Below are 21,878 nucleotides of genomic sequence, written 5' to 3' on the forward strand. Positions count from 1 at the left end.
GCTGGGTCCCTCATGCACTCTTGGTGCCCAGCCCAGAGCAGCTGCTCAGTAGCCATTTGTTGGACATAGATGTGCAAGTAAACATAGGTGTTGGTGAAACAGACATTCTTAGGTGTAGAGTCCCTGACTCAGGAGTAGGGGAAGAAGTAGGAATGATTCACAGAAGCCTCCCTTCTCTCTCTATCCTGGTGTCATCTGCCTTCCTCGCACCCATGCATCTGCAGCGGGGCATTACGTCGCTGGAAAGAGAACACCATGGCCCGAGTGGATGAAGCCAAAAAAACCTTTCAAGCAAGTACTCATTACAGAAGGACCATATGTTCCAAGGTGAGGTATAAGGAGGCAAGCTGGTCACCCAGGAGAGTTGGGACTGTGTTCTGGTGAGGGCGTGGGATGTAGGGGGTGGTGCCAGAGATTTGAACTGAATAAGGAACCTAGAAAATGGGTAACTTTCCTCCAGCACACACACAAACATCCATGTGGGCACATGTTTAGTTTTTTACTGAATTACAAACCAATATGCATTAAATAGAAACATAACACATCATAAGTGAACTAGTTCTTATCAGAACCAGTATTTTCTTTTTTTCTTTTTTTTTTTTTTTTTTTTTTTGAGACAGTCTCACTCTGTCACCCAGGCTAGAGTGCAGTGGTATCATCTCAGCTCACTGCAACCTCCATCCCCCAGGTTCAAGCGATTTCTCCTGCCTCAACCTCCCGAGTAGCTGGGACTACAGGCTTGCGCCACCACGTCCGACTAATTTTTGTATTTTTAGTAGAGATGGGGTTTCACCACATTGGCTAGGCTGGTCTTGAACTGATGACCTCAGGTGATCCATCTGCCTCAGCCTCCCAAAGTGCTGGGATTACAGGCTCTTTGAATCCAGGAGGTGGAGGTTGCAGTGAGCCGAATTGCACCACTGCACTCCAGCCTGGACAACAGAGCAAGGTTGTCTCAAAAAAAAGAAAAGAAAAGAAAAAATACCCGAAGCTAGCCTGTGCCTCCCTTCCCCTGGAAGAAGGAACACAGGAATCTTTGCTTGGCTTCAGAGCTTGAAGAGGAGGCCTTTTTGGTGGGAATGGAGTTCATGACAGCTCGCAGAGCAGGCACCAGGCATTCCCTGGGCAAGTGTTTTGTTATTGTGATTTTGTAGGCATCACTCATACAAAAGAATGTATACGACGTAGGTGTGTTCCATTTACTAAATAGTAATAGAGGCCGGGCGCAGTGGCTCACACCTGTAATCCCAGCACTTTAGGAGACTGAGTCGGGTGGATCACTTGGGGTCAGGAGTTCGAGACCAACCTGGCCAACATGGTGAAACTCCGTCTCTACTAAAAATACAGAAATTAGCTGGGTGTGGTGGTGCATGCCTGTAATCCCAGCTACTCAGAAGGCTGAGGCAGGAGAATCGCTAGAACCTGGGAGGCAGAGGTTGCAGTGAACCGAGATCATGCCACTGCACTCCAGCCCAGGTGACAGAGCGAGACTATGTCTCAAAAAAAAAATTACATATATATATTTTATATATATATAAAAATAGAATTAAGACCCATGTATATAATGACTTCACTACTTTATGGCATGGTATGATATGTAAATCCTGGTAGAAGAGTCCCAGCAGCTGAAATGCTGGGCTTCCTGTGAGGGGCTGGGGCCCTGTCCTATTGCTCAGTGGTCTGCGTGCAAGGCAGTTACTTCCTGGACCGTGTGTGAGAAGCAAATGGCAACAGCTTGGCCTTGCCTCTCCAGGAGCCACCGTCACAGACCTGGGGTGGACCCGGAAGCCAGGAGGTATAGTGACTCTTGCTGTGCTCCTTGCCTGCCCATAGGTCCTGGTCCAGTGGCGGGAAGCTGTGTCAGTGCAGATGTATTACCGACAGCAGGAGGACTGTGCCATCTGGGAGGCCCAGAAGGTGCTGGACAGGGGTAAGTGGGGCCCCAGAAGCAAGTCATGTTGAGGAATGTGAAGACAGCGCTGTTGTGGAGATCCCTGTGGCCCGCATAAGTCTGTCTCCTCCTCATACATGCCAGTTCCCTGTGGTTGCCATGACAAAGTACCACAGACTGGGAGTCTTCAAACAACACAAAATTGCCCTCTCAGTTCTGGAGGCTGGCAGTCAGCGATCAAGGTGTGGCAGGGCCATGCTTCTCCACAGGCTCTAGGGGAGGGTCCTTCCTTGCCTCTCCCAGCTTGTTTCTTGCTTGTCATGGCTTTCCTGGACGTGTAGACCCATTGCTCCAGTCTTTGCCCCATCTTGACATATCGTTCCCTTCCTGTGTCTGGGTCCCTTAGAAGGACTCTGGTCATATCGGATGAAGGGCCCACCCTACTTGAGTGTGACACCATCCTAACCAATTACATCTGCAGTGAGCCTAGTGCCAGATAAAAGTCACATTGTGAGGTTCCAGGAAGGACATGAATACGGCAGGTGTGGAGGGGGCACTGTTCAGTCCAGTATATCTTAGAAATCTATTCCCAACTGACTGCCAACCAGTTTATGTTAAAATGGAAGGCTAGAGCTTGAGATCTACAGAGAAATAAAGAAAAGAAGCTGGAATGGAGGAGCTTGGGGTGGTTGGGGAGGGGGTTGTTTTGATGGGAAAGTCCTTGCTGCTTGTCAGGGCAGCCCCCACCGTGTTAGCGTCCTGCTTCCTTGTGTAGCTGGGCCCTTAAATGTTTAGGGGCCAGAGACTTTCTAATTCGATCTCAGGAAGTCCTGCTGCCTGCTGTATATACATCTTTGGAAAGATTGCAGGGCACAGTGGTACACACCTATAGTCCCAGCTACTTGGGAGCCTGAGGTGGGAGGATCACTTGAGCCCAAGAGCTGGAGGCTGCAATGAACTATGATCACACCACTGCACTCCAGCTTGGGTGACAGAATGAGACCCAGTCTCTCTCTTTTTTGAGACAGAGTCTCACTCTGTCTCCCAGGCTGGAGTGCAGTGGTGCGATCTCGGCTCACTGCAACCTCCACCTCTTGGGGTTCAAGCGAATCTCCTGCCTCAGCCTCCAGAGTAGCGGGGACTACAGGTGTGTGCCACCACGCCAGGCTAATTTTTTGTATTCTTAGTAGAGACAGGATTTCACCGTGTTAGCTGGGATGGTCTCGATCTCCTCACCTCGTGATCCGTCCGTCTCGGCCTCCCAAAGTGCTGGGATTACAGGCGTGAGCCACTACACCTGGCCAAGACCTAGTCTCTTTTAAAAAATCTTTGGAAAGATAGTCTAGAACAGGAGTCCATGCCCCTGCTTGCAAGATGCACAGACACGCGGCAGACCCATGGGGAGCTGTCTCCTAACACAGCTAGGGGTCCCATAGTAGGAGAATCTGACACGCTGAAGGGGACAGCTCATTTTTAGAATAAATGAAAATACAAATAAAAGTGAAAACATTTAGAAATTGTTTAAATTGGCCCATAGAGAAATTGACCAAGTGGTTAAGTTGGTTTAATAGAGTTTGCTCCAGGACAAAACTGAATCAGCTTTGGTTTGGTTCCGACTGTAGCGTGTGTGTTAATGAGCATGTTTCAACACACATCCTGGGGACAAAACCCTGGGGTCAGCCATCCCACACGGCTGCATTACTGCGCCACGAATGTGCTGCTGGGTCCTGGAGCTTCTCCTCAGCTCAGAAACCAGCACTGTGTTTCTAGTTTACGAAGAAAGAAGCCGAGGGCTTTAGCCAGACCTTGGGCTCTGGAGCTTCTGCACCTGACCCTTTGGGCACCTGACCGTGCAGCTTCAAGCTCCAGAGGCTTTTGGCCAGTTTGGGTCAGCTGCCTTAAGGGTCAGGTGCCCACTCCTGGCCATGGTGGGAAGTTAGAGGCGACGGGTTTGAGTGTTGCCGGAAGCCGCTGCTCTCTGAAGGACTTTCCTTAGAGGGAGGCGGTGGCAGGCTTGGGTTGCCACGTCCATTACAGATGGTATGAGAGGCTTGGGAGACTGGGCTGCAAGACAGTGTACACGTAGTAGGTACACAGTAAATACCTGGGGAACAATTGACTGGCTTGTATTAAGGCCTCAGTGTCTCAGGCACACCTTGGCAGGCCAAGGGTGGGACTGGGAGGAGGGACTGAGGGGAGGATGTCACAAGACCCATTATGCAGAGTGCTGAAGAAGTACAGGCTGGCGGTCATAACCTGGCTGTGTGTGTGACCTCCAGCAGGCCCCCTCTCTGAGTCTCAATGTCTTCATCTGTAAGATGGGGATAACAGTGCCTACCTCTTGGGGTTGTCGTGGAGATCAAGTGAGATGACAGGTAGAGAGATACACACTTAGGACAGAGCCCAGGCATCAGCATGCAGCACTAATGTGGGTGCCTCCCACTTGTGATCTGCCGCCTTCCCTGCCTGCCTCAGTGGGCCTGGAGGGCTCCTCATCTTGGCATCTGTGCCCTGCTCTCAACCCTGTTCTGTTGTCTCAAAAAGAAAGTTCTCTCAGGGCCTAAGAAGGATTCACCAAAGGGAGAATCTGGTGACACAAAAACAAAATGCAGGATGTGGCCCATTCCTGCAGAACCCAGGGAGCCAGAGGGCATGGCCTGGCGACCAGCGCTGTCCTCCCCATCCGTGGCTTGGGCTGCTCTGACTGCTGTGACTGGGCCTTGGTTTCCACCCTGGCAAAACAGGCTGCCCTCTCTTCCAAGCTGCAGCTGAAGTGGGGGCTCCTCCTCCTCCCCCCTCAGACTGAGGGTCTTCTTCCACGTGCCCAGCAGCATTTTGCACGTGACTCTTAGGGTGCCCCTGGCACCCCTGTGGAGGCTGTGGACAGGCTTGTGGCTCTCAGAGGGCTGTTGGGGAGCACAACAGTAAACAGATCTGGTTCCAGTCCCCGGGGGGTTCACTGTTGGCAAAGGTGGCCAGAGCTGTCCCTAGAGAGGGGCCATGGTCCATGTGTGGTAGTTTCACCATGTGGGCTGGACACCTGAACTCTATCCCTGCACAGCCATCTCTGCTGTCTGCACCTTCACCATTATGTAGTCACTGGTGGAAATCCCACAAAACAGCAAACTCTGACTTGGATCTGCCTTAGGCTGTCTGCGGACCTGGTTTCAGCGCTGGTGGGACTGCAGCCGGAGGTCAGCCCAGCAGAGACTGCAGCTGGAGAGGGCAGTGCAACACCACCACCGGCAGCTGCTGCTGGAGGGGCTGGCCCGGTGGAAGACGCACCATCTGCAGTGTGTCAGGAAGAGGGTGAGGCTGACGGTGGCAACTCTCCAAGTTCTGCCTGCCTGGCAAGGGGTGTCCAGGCCAGGAGACCATTTCTCAGGAAGGGGTCTTTCCTGACAGCACTCCATGCAGCCGGTATGAGTGGTGGGTGGTTTGGGGTCCTGTAAGACAAAGCTGCAGGAGCCTTTCTGGGCGTTTGGTGGAGCCTAGCGAGTAGCCAGCCCCAGAATCCAGTGTCTCCCAGGGAAGACGGCTCAGCGGAAAAACCCGGTTCATGCTGACCCGTGGCTTATCAGTGCTGGGGGACCTACAGAGTGAGTCCTCTAGGCGGCACTCCCTGCCTATGCAGGAGACCCCTGGCACCATCCAGGACTCCTAGCAATGGGAGGACATTCAGCTGGGCAGAGGCTGGGTTAGATCAGGACCCACCCCAGGCTGTCTAGGCTGGGTCAGGACGCCACTCTCTGTGCACTTGCTCTCCCCCAGCTCCTGCACAGGCAGAGCACCCAACTGCTGGCACAGAGACTCAGCCGGACCTGCTTCCGCCAGTGGAGACAACAGGTGGGAACCCAGGAGATGTCCCCTCTGCACTTCCTTCTCCATCCTCTGGCCTGTGAGGCCTGGGCAGTGAATGACCTTCAGCCTACACCTCTAGTTCAGTATTTTTACTATCACCCTCCCCAGGGCCACCTCCTCTACCACCTTCCTGTCATTTCCAGGCACATCAGCTTCCTTCCGTCTGCAGTCTGCATAAGAACAGTTACTTCAAGGCCAGTTTCTCTCTCTACAGTGTTGTATTAAAAAATACATCAGTGGAGGCCGGGCGCAGTGGCTCACGCCTGTAATCCCAGCACTTTGGGAGGCCGAGGCAGGCGGATCATGAGGTCAGGAGATCGAGACCATCCTGGCTAACACGGTGAAACCCCGTCTCTACTAAAAATACAAAAAAAATCAGCCAGGCGTGGTGGTGGGCGCCTGTAGTCCCAGCTACTCGGGAGGCTGAGGCAGGAGAATGGCGTGAACCTGGGAGGCAGAGCTTGCAGTGAGCTGAGATAGCACCACTGCACTCCAGCCCGGGCAACAGAGCGAGACTCTGTCTAAAAAAAAAAAAAAAAAAAAATATATATATATATATATATATATATATAATCAGTGGGCCGGGCATGATGGCTCACGCCTATAATCCCAGGATTTTGGGAGGCCGAGGCAGGAGGATCACTTGAGCCCAGAAGTTCAAGACCAGCCTGGGCAACATAGTGAGACCCCATCTCTACAAAAACAAAACAGAAAAATTAGCTGGGTGTAGGCAGTGCACACCTGTGGTCCCAACTACTCGGGAGGCTGAGGCGGGAGGATTGCTTGAGCCCGGGAGGTCAAGGTTGCAGTGAGCTGTGATCATGCCACTGCACTTCAGCCTGGATGAGAGTGAGATTCCATCTCAAAAAGAAAAATCAGCATAATATCTTAAAAATTAACATGAAATGTGTTTTAAGGCTTTGCTGGGATCTTGCTTTTTAAAAAGCCAAGAGGGATCACACAGAGCAGCATCCACACGTCCCCAGCTCCCTCTTCCCGTTCTGTTGTCCTGTTTTCACCATTCCCCGGACCTCAGGCCGCTGCCTCCACGCATCCCCCTGCAGGAGCCCTTTGCCACCTTCTTTCATGAAGGTCATTCCTCAGGCCACAGATGGAGCGTGTGTTGAGCATCTCACCGCCAGGCACAAGGCTGGCCCTTCCTAGTGGAGGAAGTGGGAGCCTCGACTAGAGAGGGAGCCAAGAGGGACGAGCTGGGCAGGGCCCCGTGATCACCACGGCCTCCTTGAAGGGGCTATAGGGAAATGATCTGGTCTTTCTGGCCCTAGCTGGCAGCCAGGAGGCAGGAGCAGCGGGCGACAGTGCGGGCCCTGTGGTTCTGGGCCTTCTCGCTGCAGGCAAAGGTAATTGGGGCTCTGCATCCTACCATCCCTGCCTCTCCCTCAGGCCTTAGCCCTGCCTTGGGTGGAGGGAGGGCACCTGGTCTGTGGGGGAGCTCTAAGCAGGGAGACCTGGGCCTCACCTCCTGCCCTCCCTGGAGGTGTGGGCCACGTGGCTGGCCTTTGTACTGGAAAGGAGGAGAAAGAAGGCGCGGCTGCAGTGGGCGCTCCAGGCCTACCAGGGGCAGCTCCTCCAGGAGGGTGCCACGCGGCTCCTGCGCTTTGCAGCCAGCATGAAGGCCTCCCGGCAGCAGCTGCAGGCCCAGCAGCAGGTCCAGGTAGGCCCAGGGCCCCTTCCTGTGGGGAGCAGGCAGGGTGTGGCATGAGCTGACCAGAGGCTGTGTTGTAGGCGGCTCACAGTCTCCATCGTGCCGTCCGCCGCTGTGCCACGCTCTGGAAACAGAAAGTGCTGGGCCGGGGCGGGAAGCCTCAGCCCCTGGCAGCCATCGCACCCAGCAGGAAAGTGACGTTTGAGGGTCCCCTTCTCAACCGCATTGCTGCTGGGGCTGGGGATGGCACCCTTGAGACCAAGAGGCCACAGGCTTCTCGGCCTCTGGGAGCTCTGGGCCGCCTGGCTGCTGAGGAGCCCCACGCCCTGGAGCTGTGAGTAGCCTGTGCTCACCTTGTCCTCGCTTCCACCCTGGGCAAAAGGTTGGATGGCATAGCAGGGAGGAAAACAGCCCTGACGGGATGGGACGGGCTGGTCACGGCCTTGTCACAGCTGAGCTGCTGGGAACCCCCTCTTCTCCAGCCAGATCCCATCCCTCCCACGGCAAGAGGGAGAGAATGGAGTGGGATTTCCAAACCCTCTCTCCTTTGCCTGCCAAAGCTCAGGAAATAGGTGTCCCCTCCTCTGCAACACCTTCCTACCCTCTCTCCCGTCCTGCTGACACGATCTTTTCCGGAGTCATACACGTAGTTGACAAAGGGAACAAGCTCAGCTCCTACCCGTGCCTGCCGGCCTCTCTTCTGCTCCATCACAGCCAAGACACTGGCTTTTTGTCAGAAGCCCCTCTTTCTTGTGTGAGCTGGCACCTGTCCCTCTGCCCACCCCTACTATGGTCTCCTCAAACCCTAACCTGCCCTGCCCCATGCTGATGAAGCTGGTGGCTCCCACAGCAACCAGCACTACCCGAGAGCCTTGGGCCTCGGGGGAGATGTCAGGTGGGTGCATGGGGCCTGGGTCCCGGTCCCTGCTGTGCTCCTCACTGTTTGACTGACCTTGATGGGATCCTGAACGTCTCAGAGGCTGCTCCCCTGTGACATGGACCCTGGCGACCTGTACACCAGCGTCACCAGGGTTGTTCTGCAGGTCAAAAGAGACAATGTGGGTGAAGCAGTCCCCTGGCGTCAGGTACCTTTTGTCGGAACTGCTGGGAGCTCTATGGCCCAGGCCCACCCCAGCTTACTTGCTGACCTTGGCCTCGCCTTTCCTGACTTTCAGTCTCCCTATAAAATTGGAGATCCCACAGAGATCTCAGACCCCCCTGCAGCCCCTGGTCAGCCCAGGGGAACAGACCCCATGTTTCTTTCCAGCAACACTGCCCACTCAGCGAGGAAGCAGCCGCGACGCCCACACTTCCTGTTGGAGCCTGCGCAGAGCCAGAGGTCCCTGGGGTGCAGCACCGTGGGCAGGCAGGGGGAGATGGTCAGGGGTCCCCAAAGGCAGCGGGCACCTCCATGTGGGGCCTGTGTTTTGGCAGCCCTGGGGTGGGTGGCCCCCTTTCCTTCTTGTTCTTTGGTCCCAGAGGAGGGTCCTGTGGCCTGACCAGGCTCTTGCCTTCCCTGTGCTCAGGCCTCAGAAGCCACAGGAACATGGCCTAGGCATGGCTCAGCCAGCAGCCCCCTCCCTGACGCGGCCCTTCCTGGCAGAGGCCCCGACAGCACTGGTCCCACACAGCCCCCTGCCTGGGGCCCTGTCAAGCGCCCCTGGCCCGAAGCAGCCCCCGACGGCAAGCACAGGCCCGGAGCTGCTGCTGCTGCCTCTTTCCTCCTTCATGCCCTGCGGGGCGGCTGCACCAGCCAGGGTACGTCCTCCACCACCAGGCCTGGGCACTGGGGCTCTCACTCTGGTCTGACTTCTGGTGCTTTCTCATGCCACAGCTGTACTAGTTTCTGGAAAACCTTGGCACAGGGAGGCCACTCATCCATTTGACAAGCATAGGTAGCCACTGCACACCAGGTCCAAGGGCCACAGCAGTGAACAGCCAGCCAAGGGCCCTGCCATCCTGAAGCTTATATTCTAGTCAGAGACAAGCAAAGAAAAACCCCTGCCTGCAGGCCAGTAAAGTGGCTGCAGATCACGTAGGGTCCTGCAGGCCACAGTGAGAAGTAGCCTGGGATTTGAGAAGAGTAGGAAGTCGGGGAAGGGTTTTGGCAGGGAGCACCATGTCAGGTTTCTGTGCAGGCTGTGGTCACCATGACCACGTGGTCCAGGCAAGTAGTACTGGTGGCCTGGGCTCAGCGGTTGCCACAGAGGGGACAGGTACTCTCTTGGAGGCAGATGAGGCAGGATATGCTGCTCTGAGGGAGTTGCTGAATGAGGGGAAAGAAGGAATCCAGGCTGATGTGGGCTGCTGGCTTGAATAACTTGGGAAACAGAGTTCTTTGACTGGAAGAAGGAACTGGGGGTGGGGACTGGTTTGGGGTGAAGTGTCAAGAGTGTTTTGAACCAGGCTCTTGATGTCAAATTTGAGAGAAAGCAAACGTTGAGTCTGACCTTCAAGGAAGAGGTCAGGGCCAGAGATTGAGAAGAATCTTCAGCACAGGCCGAAGGTAACCCCAGAGCCACTGCGGCCTCTAGGAGGAGAGTACAGGGGAAGGAGAGAGGGGAGGAGGCTCCAAGCAGGGAGCCTGGGTGGGGATGGCCAGGGGGTGTGAGAGCTCAGTAATGGAAGTGACAGCTGCTCTAAGGCCACCAAAGCAGCTGGTTCCTGAAAGGGGATGAGGGGACAGGAAGGAACCAGTTCCTGTGGTGAGTTAGGCCATGTGGGGCCACTTACCCTGGCTGGAATGGTTTGAATGTGGGTTTGAAAGGGTTTTGACCCCTGTCCGGTGATGGAAGGGGCAAGTCCACTCTCACCAGGAGAGGAGGGCATGGAAAAGGCTGTAGAGCAGTGGCCTCTCACTGACCACTTCTCACTGATGTCAAAGCTCAGCAAGGTCATGAGCTTAGAGCAGGTGGGGGTGGAGGGTTGGGTAAGGCAAGGCTAGGAACAGCTGCTCAGGCAGTGGAGGCGTGAGGCGGACTGTGGTGACACGGGGTGCTCCCTGGTTGCTTGCGGGACTTTCCCCTACAGTACCAGGCCCTGTGTGCAGGGGCAGGCTAGACACTGAGCTGGCACGGCCAGTGCCTGGGAAGCCCAGCTCCTGCAGCTGGGAGCCTGGTCTTCCCCCACCCCTGCAGGGCAGGCAGTGACAAGGACTTGGTGTCCCCCTCCCTGGCTTCCTCCTAGCTTCCTTGCTCAGCATCTACCCTTCTTTCCTTTGCAGGTGTCAGCACAGCGGGCTACTCCTAGGGATAAGCCCCCGGTCCCCTCATCCCTGGCCAGTGTCCCTGACCCCCATCTACTCCTTCCTGGGGACTTCTCAGCCACCAGGGCTGGGCCTGGACTTTCAACTGCAGGTGTGTACCTGGGGCCTGTCAGGGCAGAAAGCACTCAGGCCACTCCCGGACCTGGGACTTGCTATTTACCCTGGTCCCCGAGGGGAAAATAGTCTGAAACAAGCTTACTTCTGTCGCCATAGGCAGCCTGGACCTTGAGGCTGAACTTGAGGAGATCCAGCAGCAACTACTGCACTACCAGACCACCAAGCAGAACCTCTGGTGAGCCCTGCGAAACGCCCTGCAGCCCTGGCTACAGGAGCAGGTGTTGCCTGGAGAGGTGGGCAGGCAGTTCCATTTCCCCCGAGCCAGCTGCCAGGGTCCTGTAGGTGGTCTCGGTCTAGCCATGGAGGGGTGTGGGGAGCCCTCAGTGTGTGCTGTCCAGAAAGACCCCATCTCCACCATGGCTCTCTACCCGGCTCAGTGCTGCTTAGGAAGGCCCAAGTCGTCAGACTCACCTGTGCACAGAGGCTCTGCTTCCTATGGGGGGGACGATAAAGTTGAGCAAAACTCTAAAAACCCGATGAGGCCATGCTGTCCCCAGTGACTAATTATAACACTGATATTAAAGGTGCAGAGAAGGGCCAGGCGCAGTGACTCACACCTGTCATCCCAGCACTTTGAGAGGCTGTGATCCAGGCAGATCACGGGGTTAGGAGTTCAAGACCAGCCTGGCCAATATGGTGAAACCCCATCTCTACTAAAAATACAAAAATTAGCCGGGCATGGTGGTGCACGCATGTAGTCCCAACTACTTGGAAGGCTGAGGCAGAAGAATCGCTTCAACCTGGGAGGCGGAGGTTGCAGTGAGCTGAGATCACGCCATTGCACTCCAGCCTGGGCAACACAGCAACACTCCATCTCAAAAAAAAAAAAAAATGCAGAGGAGACAGGCCCGTGACTCAGCTGCACTCAGTGGTCTGGGGACCATTCAACATGCAGCAACCTCAGAGCTTCCAGGGCAACAGACTGGCGCCTCATCCTTGGCTCTGCACAGGGGGAGAGAGACAAGGAGTGTGTTCTTGCCCAGGCCCACCTGAGTTGCTGTCTGCTGGGGAGGGCGGAGGAGACTGGGAGAGGAAAAAGAACAAGTGTTTGGCTCCCAAGCAGGGGCCTGCAGTTCAGGTCAGGGGCCCTACCAGACCACCTCTCTCCACCCGATACCCGCATCAGAATTAGCTGAGGTGCCTCTCCCTGAGCCGGATGGGGCTCTGCCAAGGACCCAGCCTGGCAGGCAGTGGGTATCTCCACCCCTCAGGTCCTGTCGGCGGCAAGCGAGCAGCCTGCGCAGGTGGCTGGAGCTGAACAGAGAGGAGCCGGGGCCTGAGGACCAGGAAGTAGAGCAGCAGGTGCAGAAAGAGCTGGAACAGGTGAGGCCCCAGGCCATCCCCAGGTGTCCCTGGGGACGCCCCGGGCTGTGCTCCCTCTCAGCCCTGCCTGTCCCTCCATGGCCCCAGGTGGAAATGCAGATCCAGCTGCTGGCAGAGGAGCTCCAGGCTCAGCGCCAGCCCATTGGCGCCTGCGTTGCCCGCATCCAGGCCCTGCGGCAGGCCCTGTGCTAGCGTGTTCGCACCAGGAACGCAGGTGCTGGGCTGTCGGGGAGGCCTCAGGCCACCTCCAGGAACAGAACACAGTTTTAAGTTTGATTTTTTTTATTTCAAAATGCTTTGCAATTAAATGAATTACTGTTCAGAAGTCTCCCACTTTTCATACAAAAATACTGTGCTACTGATACAGTTGAAAAAATTCAATGATGTCTCTCCTGCAGGAGAAATTCACAGCATCCCCAGGGTCAACATGAAATCTGGCCCTGTCCCCGCCACTGGGGGCTCCCCAGGCCTGCGTTCCTGATAAACTGGGACAGGTTTTCCAGGCACTGACCAACTATCCACCAAGGGTCCTCTGCCTCCAAGACAGACCCTGAATCAATAGCAGCAACTTTCCCATATTTCATGTAGGGATATGTGGAGGGGGACAGGAACTCTCCCATTTCCCCAGCTGGGCCTACTACCTGCCTGCCCTGTTCACTCTGGTGCCATGAGGCAGGTTCAGTGATTGATTGGTCTTGCCTGCTGCAGAGGACCTGGCCAGCTCCAGAAGGGTCACTCATCAGGTCCTGCAAAGGTCTGTATCATTAATCAGTGTCATCAGTGTCCTCAGAAGACACTAGCAGAGTCCAGGGTGATGCGTTCAGCCACAAGCACAAAGACTGCTTTTTCTAAAGAGCAGGATGAGGTGAATGTGGGAACGGAAAGCAGTTGTCACGAAGGCTGTGTGGCTCTGCTGGGGGAGAGGCATCCACAGTCTGTGCCAAGGAGGCACCTCACCCTGTGCAGCAGGAGCGTTAAGGCCAAAAAACAAAAGGGGCCAACAGAAAACAGCTCAGGTGATGGGGGGAGGAGCAGCAAGAAAAAACGACAACCGAGACCAACTGAAGGTTCGGTCAGGAATGCAGGCTCTTCCGTCTATACAGTGTTTAAAAAGATCCAAATGTGACTGAGATCATTCCAGCCTGCACTTTTTATTTGTAGGCAGAAGGAACGGGATAGGTTGAGGGGCATGATGGGGGCTCTCGCCACCTCTTGTCTGCACCTCTGGAACAGGTGGTAGCCGAATCATTCAAGTCCTACCTGGTCAGACTCCCAACCACGCTGAGGCAGGCCCTTACCTGGATGGCCTCATGGGCCTCCCTCTTGAAAAGACCCTCACTCTGTTTGGAAAAGATCCCTTAGCAGCCATAATCAGGAAAGAGACTCTAGAGCGAGCCCAGGGCTTCCCCAAAGCGGATTTTCTGTCCTGTTTTCAGCTGGAAATTGAAGTCCTTGGGGGCCTCGAAGATGAGCACGATGGTGGAGCCCAGGTTGAACTCGCCCAGGTGCTCGCCCTTACGCATGGGGACGCCCTCTCTATTGGTGTGCGTCACGAAGCTGAAGTCATTGTAGGAGCCCTTGCTGTGCCTTGGGCTGTTTGTGTGCAGGTCCTGTGGTGATAGGCTGGGGGTCAGTGGGGCCCAGGCCACCAAGTGCACAGTGTCACCCCCACATGTGTTTGGAGTCCCACTCCCTCTGTTGCTTGTCCCCACCACCACCCAACCCAGCTCCAAAAGGGAGGTGGGGATGGCATCTCAGGGCCAGGTGGGCCTGCTCTAGCCAGATCTCACACACAGCCTTGACACCTGCTGTGAACTGGGCCCAGGGAGGACAGGGAACAGTGGGGCCCAGTGGTCTCCATGCATGGTGCTGGGAGAGCAGCACCCGTGGGAGCCAAGGCCGTTGGTCACAAACTGACACCCAAAAAGGCAGCCCCTGGGGGCAGGGTGGGCAGCAGACCTGCGAGTGCTGACCCCTCATGCTGTAACCAACATGAGCCACCCCGAGCTCAACACTCCCTTTCTGTTCCCTCCTCACTCTCACCTTTGACCATGGTTCCTAGCAGAAGCCAGGTGCCAGGCAAGGAGGTTAATTCCCTCCATCTCTTCCAGCCACTTCCAGCCAGCAGTGCAAGGAGGGAGGGAAGCCTCAGCTGGCTGGCAGGTGGAGCGGCCATTCTCAGGACAGCTGCTCAGCAGAGCCAGGCCTGACCAGAGCTGTGGCCTCCCTAGAATTCAGTCCCAACGCATCCGCCGCACAGCAGACAAGGCAGGTAGACCCAAGAGGTCTGGCCCTTGGGCTTTGGCAGGGCCTAGATCCTGCTTACCCGGTCAAAGTAGATGCGAATGGAGCCCACGTTGGTGGCCCCCACAGCTGTCAGTGAGAAGAAGCCATGTTTCCAGTCCCCCGTCAGGACCACCCGCTCGTTATGGCAGAAGAGCTCTTTGATCCAGCGAGCCATGCCAGGGTTCACTGACATCAGGGAGCCTGCAGAGGCAGGGAATGCCGCTACTCCCCGTCCAGAGCCCGGTGTGTCCACCCCATGGCAGCCAAGACCCAAAGGGACTCATGGCCTGTTGCCCCGATGTCACTCCAAATGCTGAGCTGACTGGGCCCCACGGTCCCCTGCCCACAACCAGCCTGCATAAAGCAGTCAACTCCTGGCCTCAATGACCCTGATCTGGAGCCTGGTCCCCCAACACCAAGAAGCTGAGAGCCTCTATATGAAGCCCACAGAGGCAGCTCCCCCCACGCTGGCCCCGGGCTGACCTGGGAAGTGGCGCCGGTGGGACACAGTCCAGTCGGTGGGGGAGTGGAAGCAGTGGTAGTCCCCAGGGGCCAGGTAGATGACACAGTGATAGAGCTCATTCCCTTCCCGGGTGACCAGCTGGTTCTTGAAGGAGTCACACGACGCGGCTGTGGAGTAGGAGCAGACGTGGGGGCCACCAACACAGTGAGCACCCAGCACGGAGCCCGAGTGTGGTCTGCACATGGATTCTCAGGGAGGCCCCACATGCCAGCCTCAGTTCCTTCCCCAGCATTCCCCTCCCTCCCGGTCCAGCCACACAGCAGCAGGGCTGCCTAGCCCCGCCTGTGCAGTGACCCACCTGGTGGGAAGGGCAGGTCCTCTGTGCACATACGCGGGCCCAGGAACGACTCCAGGGAGTAGGTGACCCCCTTTACCTGCTCCACCTCACAGTTCTTCACCTGCCCAAAGTTGAGGATCCTTCCATCCGATGGGCTAATCTGGAAGGGCAGGAGAGGCTTGCTGCCAGGGAGAGCAGGGTCTCCTCCCCCCAGGAGACAGCCCCCACCTCCCCTTGTCATCCTGCCCCTTCCAGATACGCTGGAGACCAGGGGGGCTGTGCTGGGGAGGCAGGAAAAAGTCCTGTTTCCTGCAGGAGGAAAGGGTCAGGCCTCACCACGCTGTGCAGGCCACAGACAGGCCGGGCCTGCGGCTTCAGCTTGCGCCGGAAGAACTCGCTGAGGTTGCGGTAGTGATGCAGGTCCTCCACAGCGGCCTCTTTCATGTTCACCCCAAACGTCCAGATGTACAGGCTGTAGACGGGCCTGCGCAGCCAGTGTGGCAGCTCCACCTGATTGAGGCGACCCCAGGCCCGTGACAGCAAGCGCGTTGGCACTGACTTGTACAAAGCCACCTGCAGGCCACAGGGCAAGGGGCTGAGTTGACCACACTGCCCCAGCTCCAGAGAGCCCAAGTAGTGTCATTAGCCCAGCTCTCACTTCAGGGGAGAATCTGCACCCCACGGAGGACACCAGGGCCCAGGTGCCCCACGCTGCTTTTGTGATGTGGCTGTTTCTCACTGGGAACCAGACTGCACCTGCCACACGGAGTGCTGGATTTACATACAACTCCAGTGGATTTCATCATTTCATGCAAAAGTCAAATAGCAACTGCTCCAGTCCCAGAACGGGAGACGCCCAGCAGTCTTACTTCTTAAAGTGGGGGTCGGAAACGGATCTGATCCTAACCACAGTGTGTGACCCTAGCCACGGTGACCCCAATATCACAGTGTGTGGAGAGGTGGTGGGCATCTTGCCCGTGGTCACTGCCCATATCCCAGACCACCAAAGGAGGAGGCTCCCAAGTGCATGGAACAAGTCTACAGCCCAAAGTGTGTCCCTCTGTCTTAACAGGAAGAAGGAGGATACCCTGAGCACCAACAGGGATTTTCAGATGCAGGTCTGCGATGTCACTGTCACCTGGGCCTGAGCTGCAGACACAGGGTCTGCAGCCCCCACAGGTCCAGCCAGCACTCTTGAGGGCCTGGATGCAGCCAGTCTGAGAAGCCCAGCCCTGCTGAGCCCCACCTTGGCCCCACGGCAGGACTTGTGTTCAACGTTCTACTGTGACTGAGCCAGGCCATAAAGCCATCTGCACCTGGGGTTCCTCCCAGGAGGCAAAGAGAAGTCATCCCCTCAGGCCCCTCTGTTCTCTCTTCCTTCAGGGAAGCCTGGAGCACCTAAGACAGACGATGGCCTGGGGACAAGCACTGGGTCCCACTAGATGGTCCCAGAGCTCTCCGGCAGGGCCAGGTACCCAGGAAGGGGCAGCCTCTTAAACTTCAGGTGCTGCTGCCACTGTAGAAGCTGCCTGTAATTGGTGGCTGCTGCTTCTCTAAACACAACCAAGACACCAACTCCCCAAGGTGTAAAACTGATTTCATTCCAACTTTCAACACCTCTCCAAGGTAAGGTAAGCTCCCAGAGAGCTGCTCTTATCCCTTCCAGCTGATGCCCAGTCACACAGAAGGGCTATGTGAGCCCAGGCCCTTCCCAGGCACAGGTGGGAGCCTGGGCTAATGTCCAGGGTGCCTCAGTGCCCCTGAGCTCTGATGACACCCATGTGACTGTCAAAGGCCCAGGAACAGGGTTTCCTCCTTGGGGTCAACCTGCCTGGGAAGCCAAGGGCAAGAGCAAGCCCTCTAGGGACCAGGAGAGGACAAGCCAGTTCCCTTGCCCATTCCTGGGGCATGCCTCTGGGTTCCTTAAGGGTGTCCTCACCCTAAGGGACCCAAACAGGATCCATCCATCCTGAACCACCCCTTTGGCATCCCGGAATTAATTTGGCTTCTGTTCAAAATCACCTATAAGCTCTTTTTTGCTTGAACACAGAAAAATCAGAGACAGACACCATTTTCTGAATCCCCAGACTGGGTTCCTTCCAGAACCAGAGCCCCAAATGGCAGACATGAGGCAGGCTAGGGGAGTGGGCAGGGCACGACATGCCCTCGCAGTCACCCGCGGCCCAGGTAGTGGCCTTCTCAAAAGCTGCCTTGGCCTTGCCCACCAATGAACCTTCCGACCCGGACCCCCTGAAGATGTAGCGGTGACCTCTGCTTCTGACAGCTCGCCACCACCTCAGTCTCTCCTGCACCCCAACCTCAGGCCTGCCCGGAAGGGAGGTCCGAGCCACAGGGGCCTGTGCACACTTACCCTGCTTACGGGCCTCCATCCCACCCGGCTGAGCGGTCTGAGGGCGCCGAAGGGCAGGAGGTAGTAGAGGACGGTCAAGGGCCAGGAGCGCAGTTTCAGAGCGGGTCTGGACATGCAGCTCAGCTGCCCCAGCCTCCGCCTCAGGGCCAGCTGGGGGAAGTGCAACCTGCAGGGCACAGGTCCATGCACAGCCAGGTCAGTGGCCAGGCTCTGGGCAGGACCCAGGAGGCTGCCACCTGCACCCAGGGCAGGATTCCTCCTGTCTACCCACCCTTGGCAAGCTGCCTCTCCATGGGGGTGATGGAGCCCAGCAAGCACTGGCTGTGCCCCCTCGTCCCAACCCCATTCTGATTCAGGGGCTTGGCTGCCTCTGGCTAGCGGACTCATTTCCCAGGCTCTCCCACCCGCCAGCCAGCTGGGGAGGACTGGGAATGTGGGGGCAGCCGCAAGAGGAGAGTCAGGCCCAGCTGCGGGGCACCTCTCAGCTGCAGCAGCTCCCAGCAAGGGCCTCCAGGCCCAAGCACCTGGGCCCAGGAAGGGGAGAGCAGGGTGTAGGGCCTGCCTCACATCCCTCAGCCTCCGCAGCCCAGGAGAGTGGGCCCCAGGGGCCAGCTCTGCCACACAGGCACTGGCACGGCAGCACATAGCGCTGAGGAGCTACGACCCAGCCAGCTGGGTAACCATTTGCTGAGTCTTCCGCTACCATCCTTTGCAGGATCTGGGATATCCTTTTCATGGTTCCAGGCCCCCCCTTTCCTCATCTGCTAAATTACGGGGCCAAGGCCAGACAAGATCTCAAAGGGAGCATTTACACTCCGCCTACCACCACCACACAGCTACGGCTCCATCCATCTGCATGGTCTTTCTATAACAGGCCAGGTTCTGAAAACCCATCCACAGGTTTGTGAACAAAACCTCCCCACCACAAGCTCTCAAGCCACCTGTCTGCTCTGCTGGGGCTGCACAGACAGACACACACACACACACACACACACACCCATCCCAAGCCCCTCCTTTCAGCAAAGGTGGACACACACACACACACACACACACACACACACACACACACACACGAGACCCAAGCCCCTCCTTTCTGCATCCAGCCTCTCTGTGATCCGGCCTCTCCCCACCCTCCCAGCACAAATGCAGGGCACTCAGCAGGGGCTCAGCTTCACCAGAGCCGCAGAGGCTGGACGGGCCTTTCCACCACAACCCTGGCCTCCTGCGCCTAAACAAGGCCCACCCCACCCTGTCTGTGCCTAGGCCTAGCAAATGCTCCTGAGGCCCAGGGTAGCCAGCAGGAGACCACACTGCCATCCACTCAGAACGTCCCCAGGTCTCAGTTTCCTCATCTGCAAAGTAACTGCATTTAGCTAATCTACGGCTGCCATCTGGGACTGTGCTCTCAAGAGAAGCTGAGTCCTCTCTCCCAGTTGCTGAGCAAACCAAGGAACAAAGCAGCATCTCAGCTGATAGCAGCAGAGCAGACGGCAGGCGAACCAGTGGCGAACCCCGCTCAGGCTCAGGCTCAGAGCTGGCTGCATCCACGCAGCTCCCGGGTGCCTACTTTCTCTCCCATCGCACCCCGGTGTATTTTTAAAAGGTCCAGGAAGGTGGCAGGGGCCAAGCAAAGACAAATCACTGCTCCCCTCTGGCTTTGCCACCTGCCCCACTCACTGCAGAAGAGCAGGGACCAACTGGGAAGAGCTACACCCCTCCCATGGGCAGGAAGGGGAATGGGGAAGCCTCTCTCCTAGGTGGGGTGCAGAGGCAAGGGTCTGGGCTGCGAGCAGGGGGCCTGGGAGCACCAGGGTAGGGAAGATCGCAGGCATGAGGTCTGAGGCTCGCTGGCAGCCTCCCCCTGCTGGGCCCTCCTCATGGTTGGAACCAAAGATACCTGAAGCGGGCTCTCCGACTCAGGGTGCTCAGGCCCCCCAGGCCAGGCTCCTCCAGCCTCGGGGGCTGACCACCAGTCCCCTTGCCGCCACCTCTACTGCGAGGCCGCTGGATGTGAACTCTGACCTTCCGGAGGTCGTGGCGGGGAACCGTGGGGTTAGGGCGCGGTGGGCAGCATCTCACCATTTCGCCGCGCGGAGCTCTGGTCCTTGCCGCGCCTCTGACTGACACATCATGGGCCGGCGCAGGGAGGGCGGGGCGAGGCTCACTCGATCACTCCCTTTGTTTTCCTCTTTCCTCCCCTTCCCCCGAGCCAGCAGATCTCCTGTGCTGTCACTGCTCCAGGGCCTCTGCCTCTGCGAGGCTGGTTGGTGGCGCCGCTTCCTGGGTTTGGTTCAGTCTCGGTGGCTCACAGGGTGCAGAATAGAGGGTCAGGGCTATTGCAGACAGACAGGCACTGGTCACACACCTGCTCAGGTCACCTGCTCAGGGCTTGCAGTCCAGTGCAAAAGCCCCTGCACTAAAGCCCACTGTCCCCAGTCCTGGCCACCTGCTCTGTCCCTGCTACCCAGGGCTGAGCCAGCCTGCACTGCTCATCCTCTTCCTCAGCTGGCCTGGGGAGGCAGTAGGGGGCAAGGCCCTAGGGCTGCCCGGTCCAGTAAGCCATGACAGGGAGGGGACCAGCCACTGCTGCCAGGGCTTTCAGGCCCCACTTGGCTCCAAACGCACAAAGTGGGAACTTGAGCCCCGTGCTCCAGGCCCAGGCCCAGCACCGCGTCAGCCGGTCTGCAGTTTGGCCCCTCCCTTGCCAGGACCTGACCCATTTTCAATTCAGGTTACAAAGTAGCATCTGAGGAATGAGATGAGCGGGAAGCCACGAGAGGTGCCCTGGTGAGAACCTGGCATCTTACCTGCTCTGGCTCTCTCCTCACCCCTCCTGGCCTTGACCCCCCACCAACACACACACAAAATACCCAGCTCCCTGCTCCAGGCCTCCTCAGAAGCTGTGCATGTGGGGAAAACCAGCCTGGGGCTGGGAACAGGCCAGGACTGCAGCACAAACCAGTTCCACTCCCCTTTTTCCATCGTTGCTTCAGAAAAGCACTTTGGCCAGGGCCCCAGCCTGGCTATCTGGGAGGACACACCCGGCCCCTACAAAGCCTCTCCACCTTGGCCTGCACAGATAGCGGAAGGAAGAGCAAACATGCTGAAGCTGTGCTATCTCAGCCCAGGCAATCAAGGCCCTCCAGGATATGGGCTGACAGGGAGCCCACCCCTCCAGTCCTTCACCCCCAGCCACTGCCCAGGAAGGGGCAGGCACCTGTCACCATCCTTAGATGATGAAATGTGGCCCCAAGAGCTGCCATCTAAAGCAAAGAATAGGCCAGGCATGGCCAGCCCGCCATGAGGCCTAACTCAGACATCGCTGTGGTCGCGCGTGGTTGAACATCTGACGCCCTGGCAAACCCTCCTCAGCCACACAGGTGAAGATTCCGCCCGGGAACCTGCCTGCAAGAATCACCGAAGCCCCGGGTATGAGATTCAGTGGCCTCTTGGAGCCAGGACAATAAGGTGACTAAGGTCAGACACAAGCGTGGATTTCTCCCCCGATCCAGGCTGGGGCTGGTCCAGGCCCCTCTCCTAAATGAGTGACGGGGACAGCTCACTGCAGATGGGTCAGGCAGGAGGGCGCCTACCCACCAGCAAACAGATACACACCAGCATCCTCCCTTGGGAAGGTGCCGGCACCAGGAGATTGGCACAGGCACAAGAGGCCCATTGCATCTCAAGGCCGAGGCCCAGGCCCATAGACAGCCCCAGTGTCCAGGCCTCCAGGGCCATGTCACTCCAACCACTCCGCCAACATACTGAGCAAACGCCCCACCCTCCCTGGCCCACCAGGCTCCATGCTGGCCTCCTGCCATCTGCCCAGGAAACAGGGGTGATAGCAGTCAGGGGTGAGCCTGGTGCCTGGTTCCAAAGGGGAAGCTCTTTCCCTGGTCTATAGAGTGCAGGCTTGGAACTGAGCTCACAGCCAGGATTCAGAGGGAGGCAAGCGTGGCCTTGAGGGGAGGCAGAGAGGAGGGGCCTTGGGGAGCCCCAGCCTCCTGCCAGTTTTCCTCACTGACCTACCATGTGGGACAGTGACGACCACAGCCCTGAATGTATTAGAAAGACATGAACCCAGATAAACCCAGCTCGGCCAAAAACCTTGGGTTCTCAAAGCAGGTTCCCCTGTGAGCCTTGGCATTTCATTCTCCCATGGTGCTGTGAGGGGCTGGGTCTGGCCTCCGGTCTCAGAGGGGGCCCTACTGAGGAATCAAGGCACATGAGGCCAGGGGCCAGGTCAGATGCCCATCAGGGAAAGGTGAGCCCTGGAGAGACTAAGAACCATCCTGAGA

At 57.2% G+C, this 21,878-nt stretch overlaps 2 protein-coding genes and 1 non-coding gene across 19 annotated transcripts in view, besides 5 other annotated features; 1 reads left to right on the top strand and 2 right to left on the bottom strand.

The window, feature by feature from the left end:
* The window catches only part of SFI1 (SFI1 centrin binding protein), a 122,450-nt gene extending 109,965 nt beyond the window's left edge, over positions 1-12,485 (top strand). For 3 of the 5 annotated variants that reach the window (NM_001007467.3, NM_014775.4, NM_001258326.2), the window contains 13 exons: positions 225-327; positions 1,834-1,930; positions 5,040-5,200; positions 5,663-5,737; positions 7,039-7,113; positions 7,251-7,427; positions 7,499-7,752; positions 8,686-8,757; positions 8,945-9,176; positions 10,642-10,774; positions 10,897-10,975; positions 12,012-12,123; positions 12,211-12,485. In NM_001007467.3, coding sequence (NP_001007468.1) covers positions 225-327; positions 1,834-1,930; positions 5,040-5,200; positions 5,663-5,737; positions 7,039-7,113; positions 7,251-7,427; positions 7,499-7,752; positions 8,686-8,757; positions 8,945-9,176; positions 10,642-10,774; positions 10,897-10,975; positions 12,012-12,123; positions 12,211-12,315 — 1,675 coding nt within the window. In that variant the 3' untranslated portion in view covers positions 12,316-12,485. The remainder of the gene's footprint in view (positions 1-224; positions 328-1,833; positions 1,931-5,039; positions 5,201-5,662; positions 5,738-7,038; positions 7,114-7,250; positions 7,428-7,498; positions 7,753-8,685; positions 8,758-8,944; positions 9,177-10,641; positions 10,775-10,896; positions 10,976-12,011; positions 12,124-12,210) is intronic. The other 2 variants (NM_001258325.1, NM_001258327.2) reach the window with 2 other exon arrangements.
* Positions 4,015-4,661: an enhancer, noted in NCBI's record as "H3K27ac-H3K4me1 hESC enhancer chr22:32006104-32006750 (GRCh37/hg19 assembly coordinates)". NCBI's record gives its function as "activates a minimal SCP1, AML or CMV promoter by ChIP-STARR-seq in primed H9 embryonic stem cells {active_cell/tissue: H9 hESC(primed)}" and the evidence as "EXISTENCE:reporter gene assay evidence [ECO:0000049][PMID:30033119]".
* PISD (phosphatidylserine decarboxylase) overlaps positions 12,388-21,878 on the bottom strand; it is a 44,074-nt gene continuing 34,583 nt past the window's right edge. For 5 of the 13 annotated variants that reach the window (NM_001326415.2, NM_001326417.2, NM_001326416.2 and 2 more), the window contains 7 exons: positions 19,660-19,913; positions 17,581-17,746; positions 15,546-15,782; positions 15,231-15,369; positions 14,893-15,039; positions 14,450-14,610; positions 12,388-13,733 (listed from right to left, as the gene is read on the bottom strand). In NM_001326415.2, the coding sequence (NP_001313344.1) occupies positions 13,509-13,733; positions 14,450-14,610; positions 14,893-15,039; positions 15,231-15,369; positions 15,546-15,782; positions 17,581-17,746; positions 19,660-19,712 (1,128 nt within the window). In that variant the 5' untranslated portion in view covers positions 19,713-19,913 and the 3' untranslated portion in view covers positions 12,388-13,508. The remainder of the gene's footprint in view (positions 13,734-14,449; positions 14,611-14,892; positions 15,040-15,230; positions 15,370-15,545; positions 15,783-17,580; positions 17,747-19,659; positions 19,914-21,878) is intronic. The other 8 variants (NM_001326413.2, NM_001326414.2, NM_001326418.2 and 5 more) reach the window with 6 other exon arrangements.
* On the bottom strand, positions 15,364-15,428 carry MIR7109 (microRNA 7109). Its single transcript, NR_106959.1, has one exon. It is a non-coding gene; the product is annotated as a microRNA 7109 (primary transcript).
* Positions 17,276-21,733: an enhancer, noted in NCBI's record as "VISTA enhancer hs2240". NCBI's record gives its function as "enhancer in: neural tube[15/16] | hindbrain (rhombencephalon)[14/16] | heart[5/16]" and the evidence as "EXISTENCE:transgenic organism evidence [ECO:0001131][PMID:17130149]".
* Positions 18,370-18,923: an enhancer, noted in NCBI's record as "H3K27ac-H3K4me1 hESC enhancer chr22:32020459-32021012 (GRCh37/hg19 assembly coordinates)". NCBI's record gives its function as "activates a minimal SCP1, AML or CMV promoter by ChIP-STARR-seq in naive H9 embryonic stem cells {active_cell/tissue: H9 hESC(naive)}" and the evidence as "EXISTENCE:reporter gene assay evidence [ECO:0000049][PMID:30033119]".
* Positions 19,476-20,029: an enhancer, noted in NCBI's record as "H3K27ac-H3K4me1 hESC enhancer chr22:32021565-32022118 (GRCh37/hg19 assembly coordinates)". NCBI's record gives its function as "activates a minimal SCP1, AML or CMV promoter by ChIP-STARR-seq in primed H9 embryonic stem cells {active_cell/tissue: H9 hESC(primed)}" and the evidence as "EXISTENCE:reporter gene assay evidence [ECO:0000049][PMID:30033119]".
* Positions 20,583-21,135: an enhancer, noted in NCBI's record as "H3K27ac-H3K4me1 hESC enhancer chr22:32022672-32023224 (GRCh37/hg19 assembly coordinates)". NCBI's record gives its function as "activates a minimal SCP1, AML or CMV promoter by ChIP-STARR-seq in naive H9 embryonic stem cells {active_cell/tissue: H9 hESC(naive)}" and the evidence as "EXISTENCE:reporter gene assay evidence [ECO:0000049][PMID:30033119]".

Source organism: Homo sapiens, chromosome 22 (genome assembly GCF_000001405.40).
Source record: "Homo sapiens chromosome 22, GRCh38.p14 Primary Assembly".
NCBI lineage: Eukaryota > Metazoa > Chordata > Mammalia > Primates > Hominidae > Homo > Homo sapiens.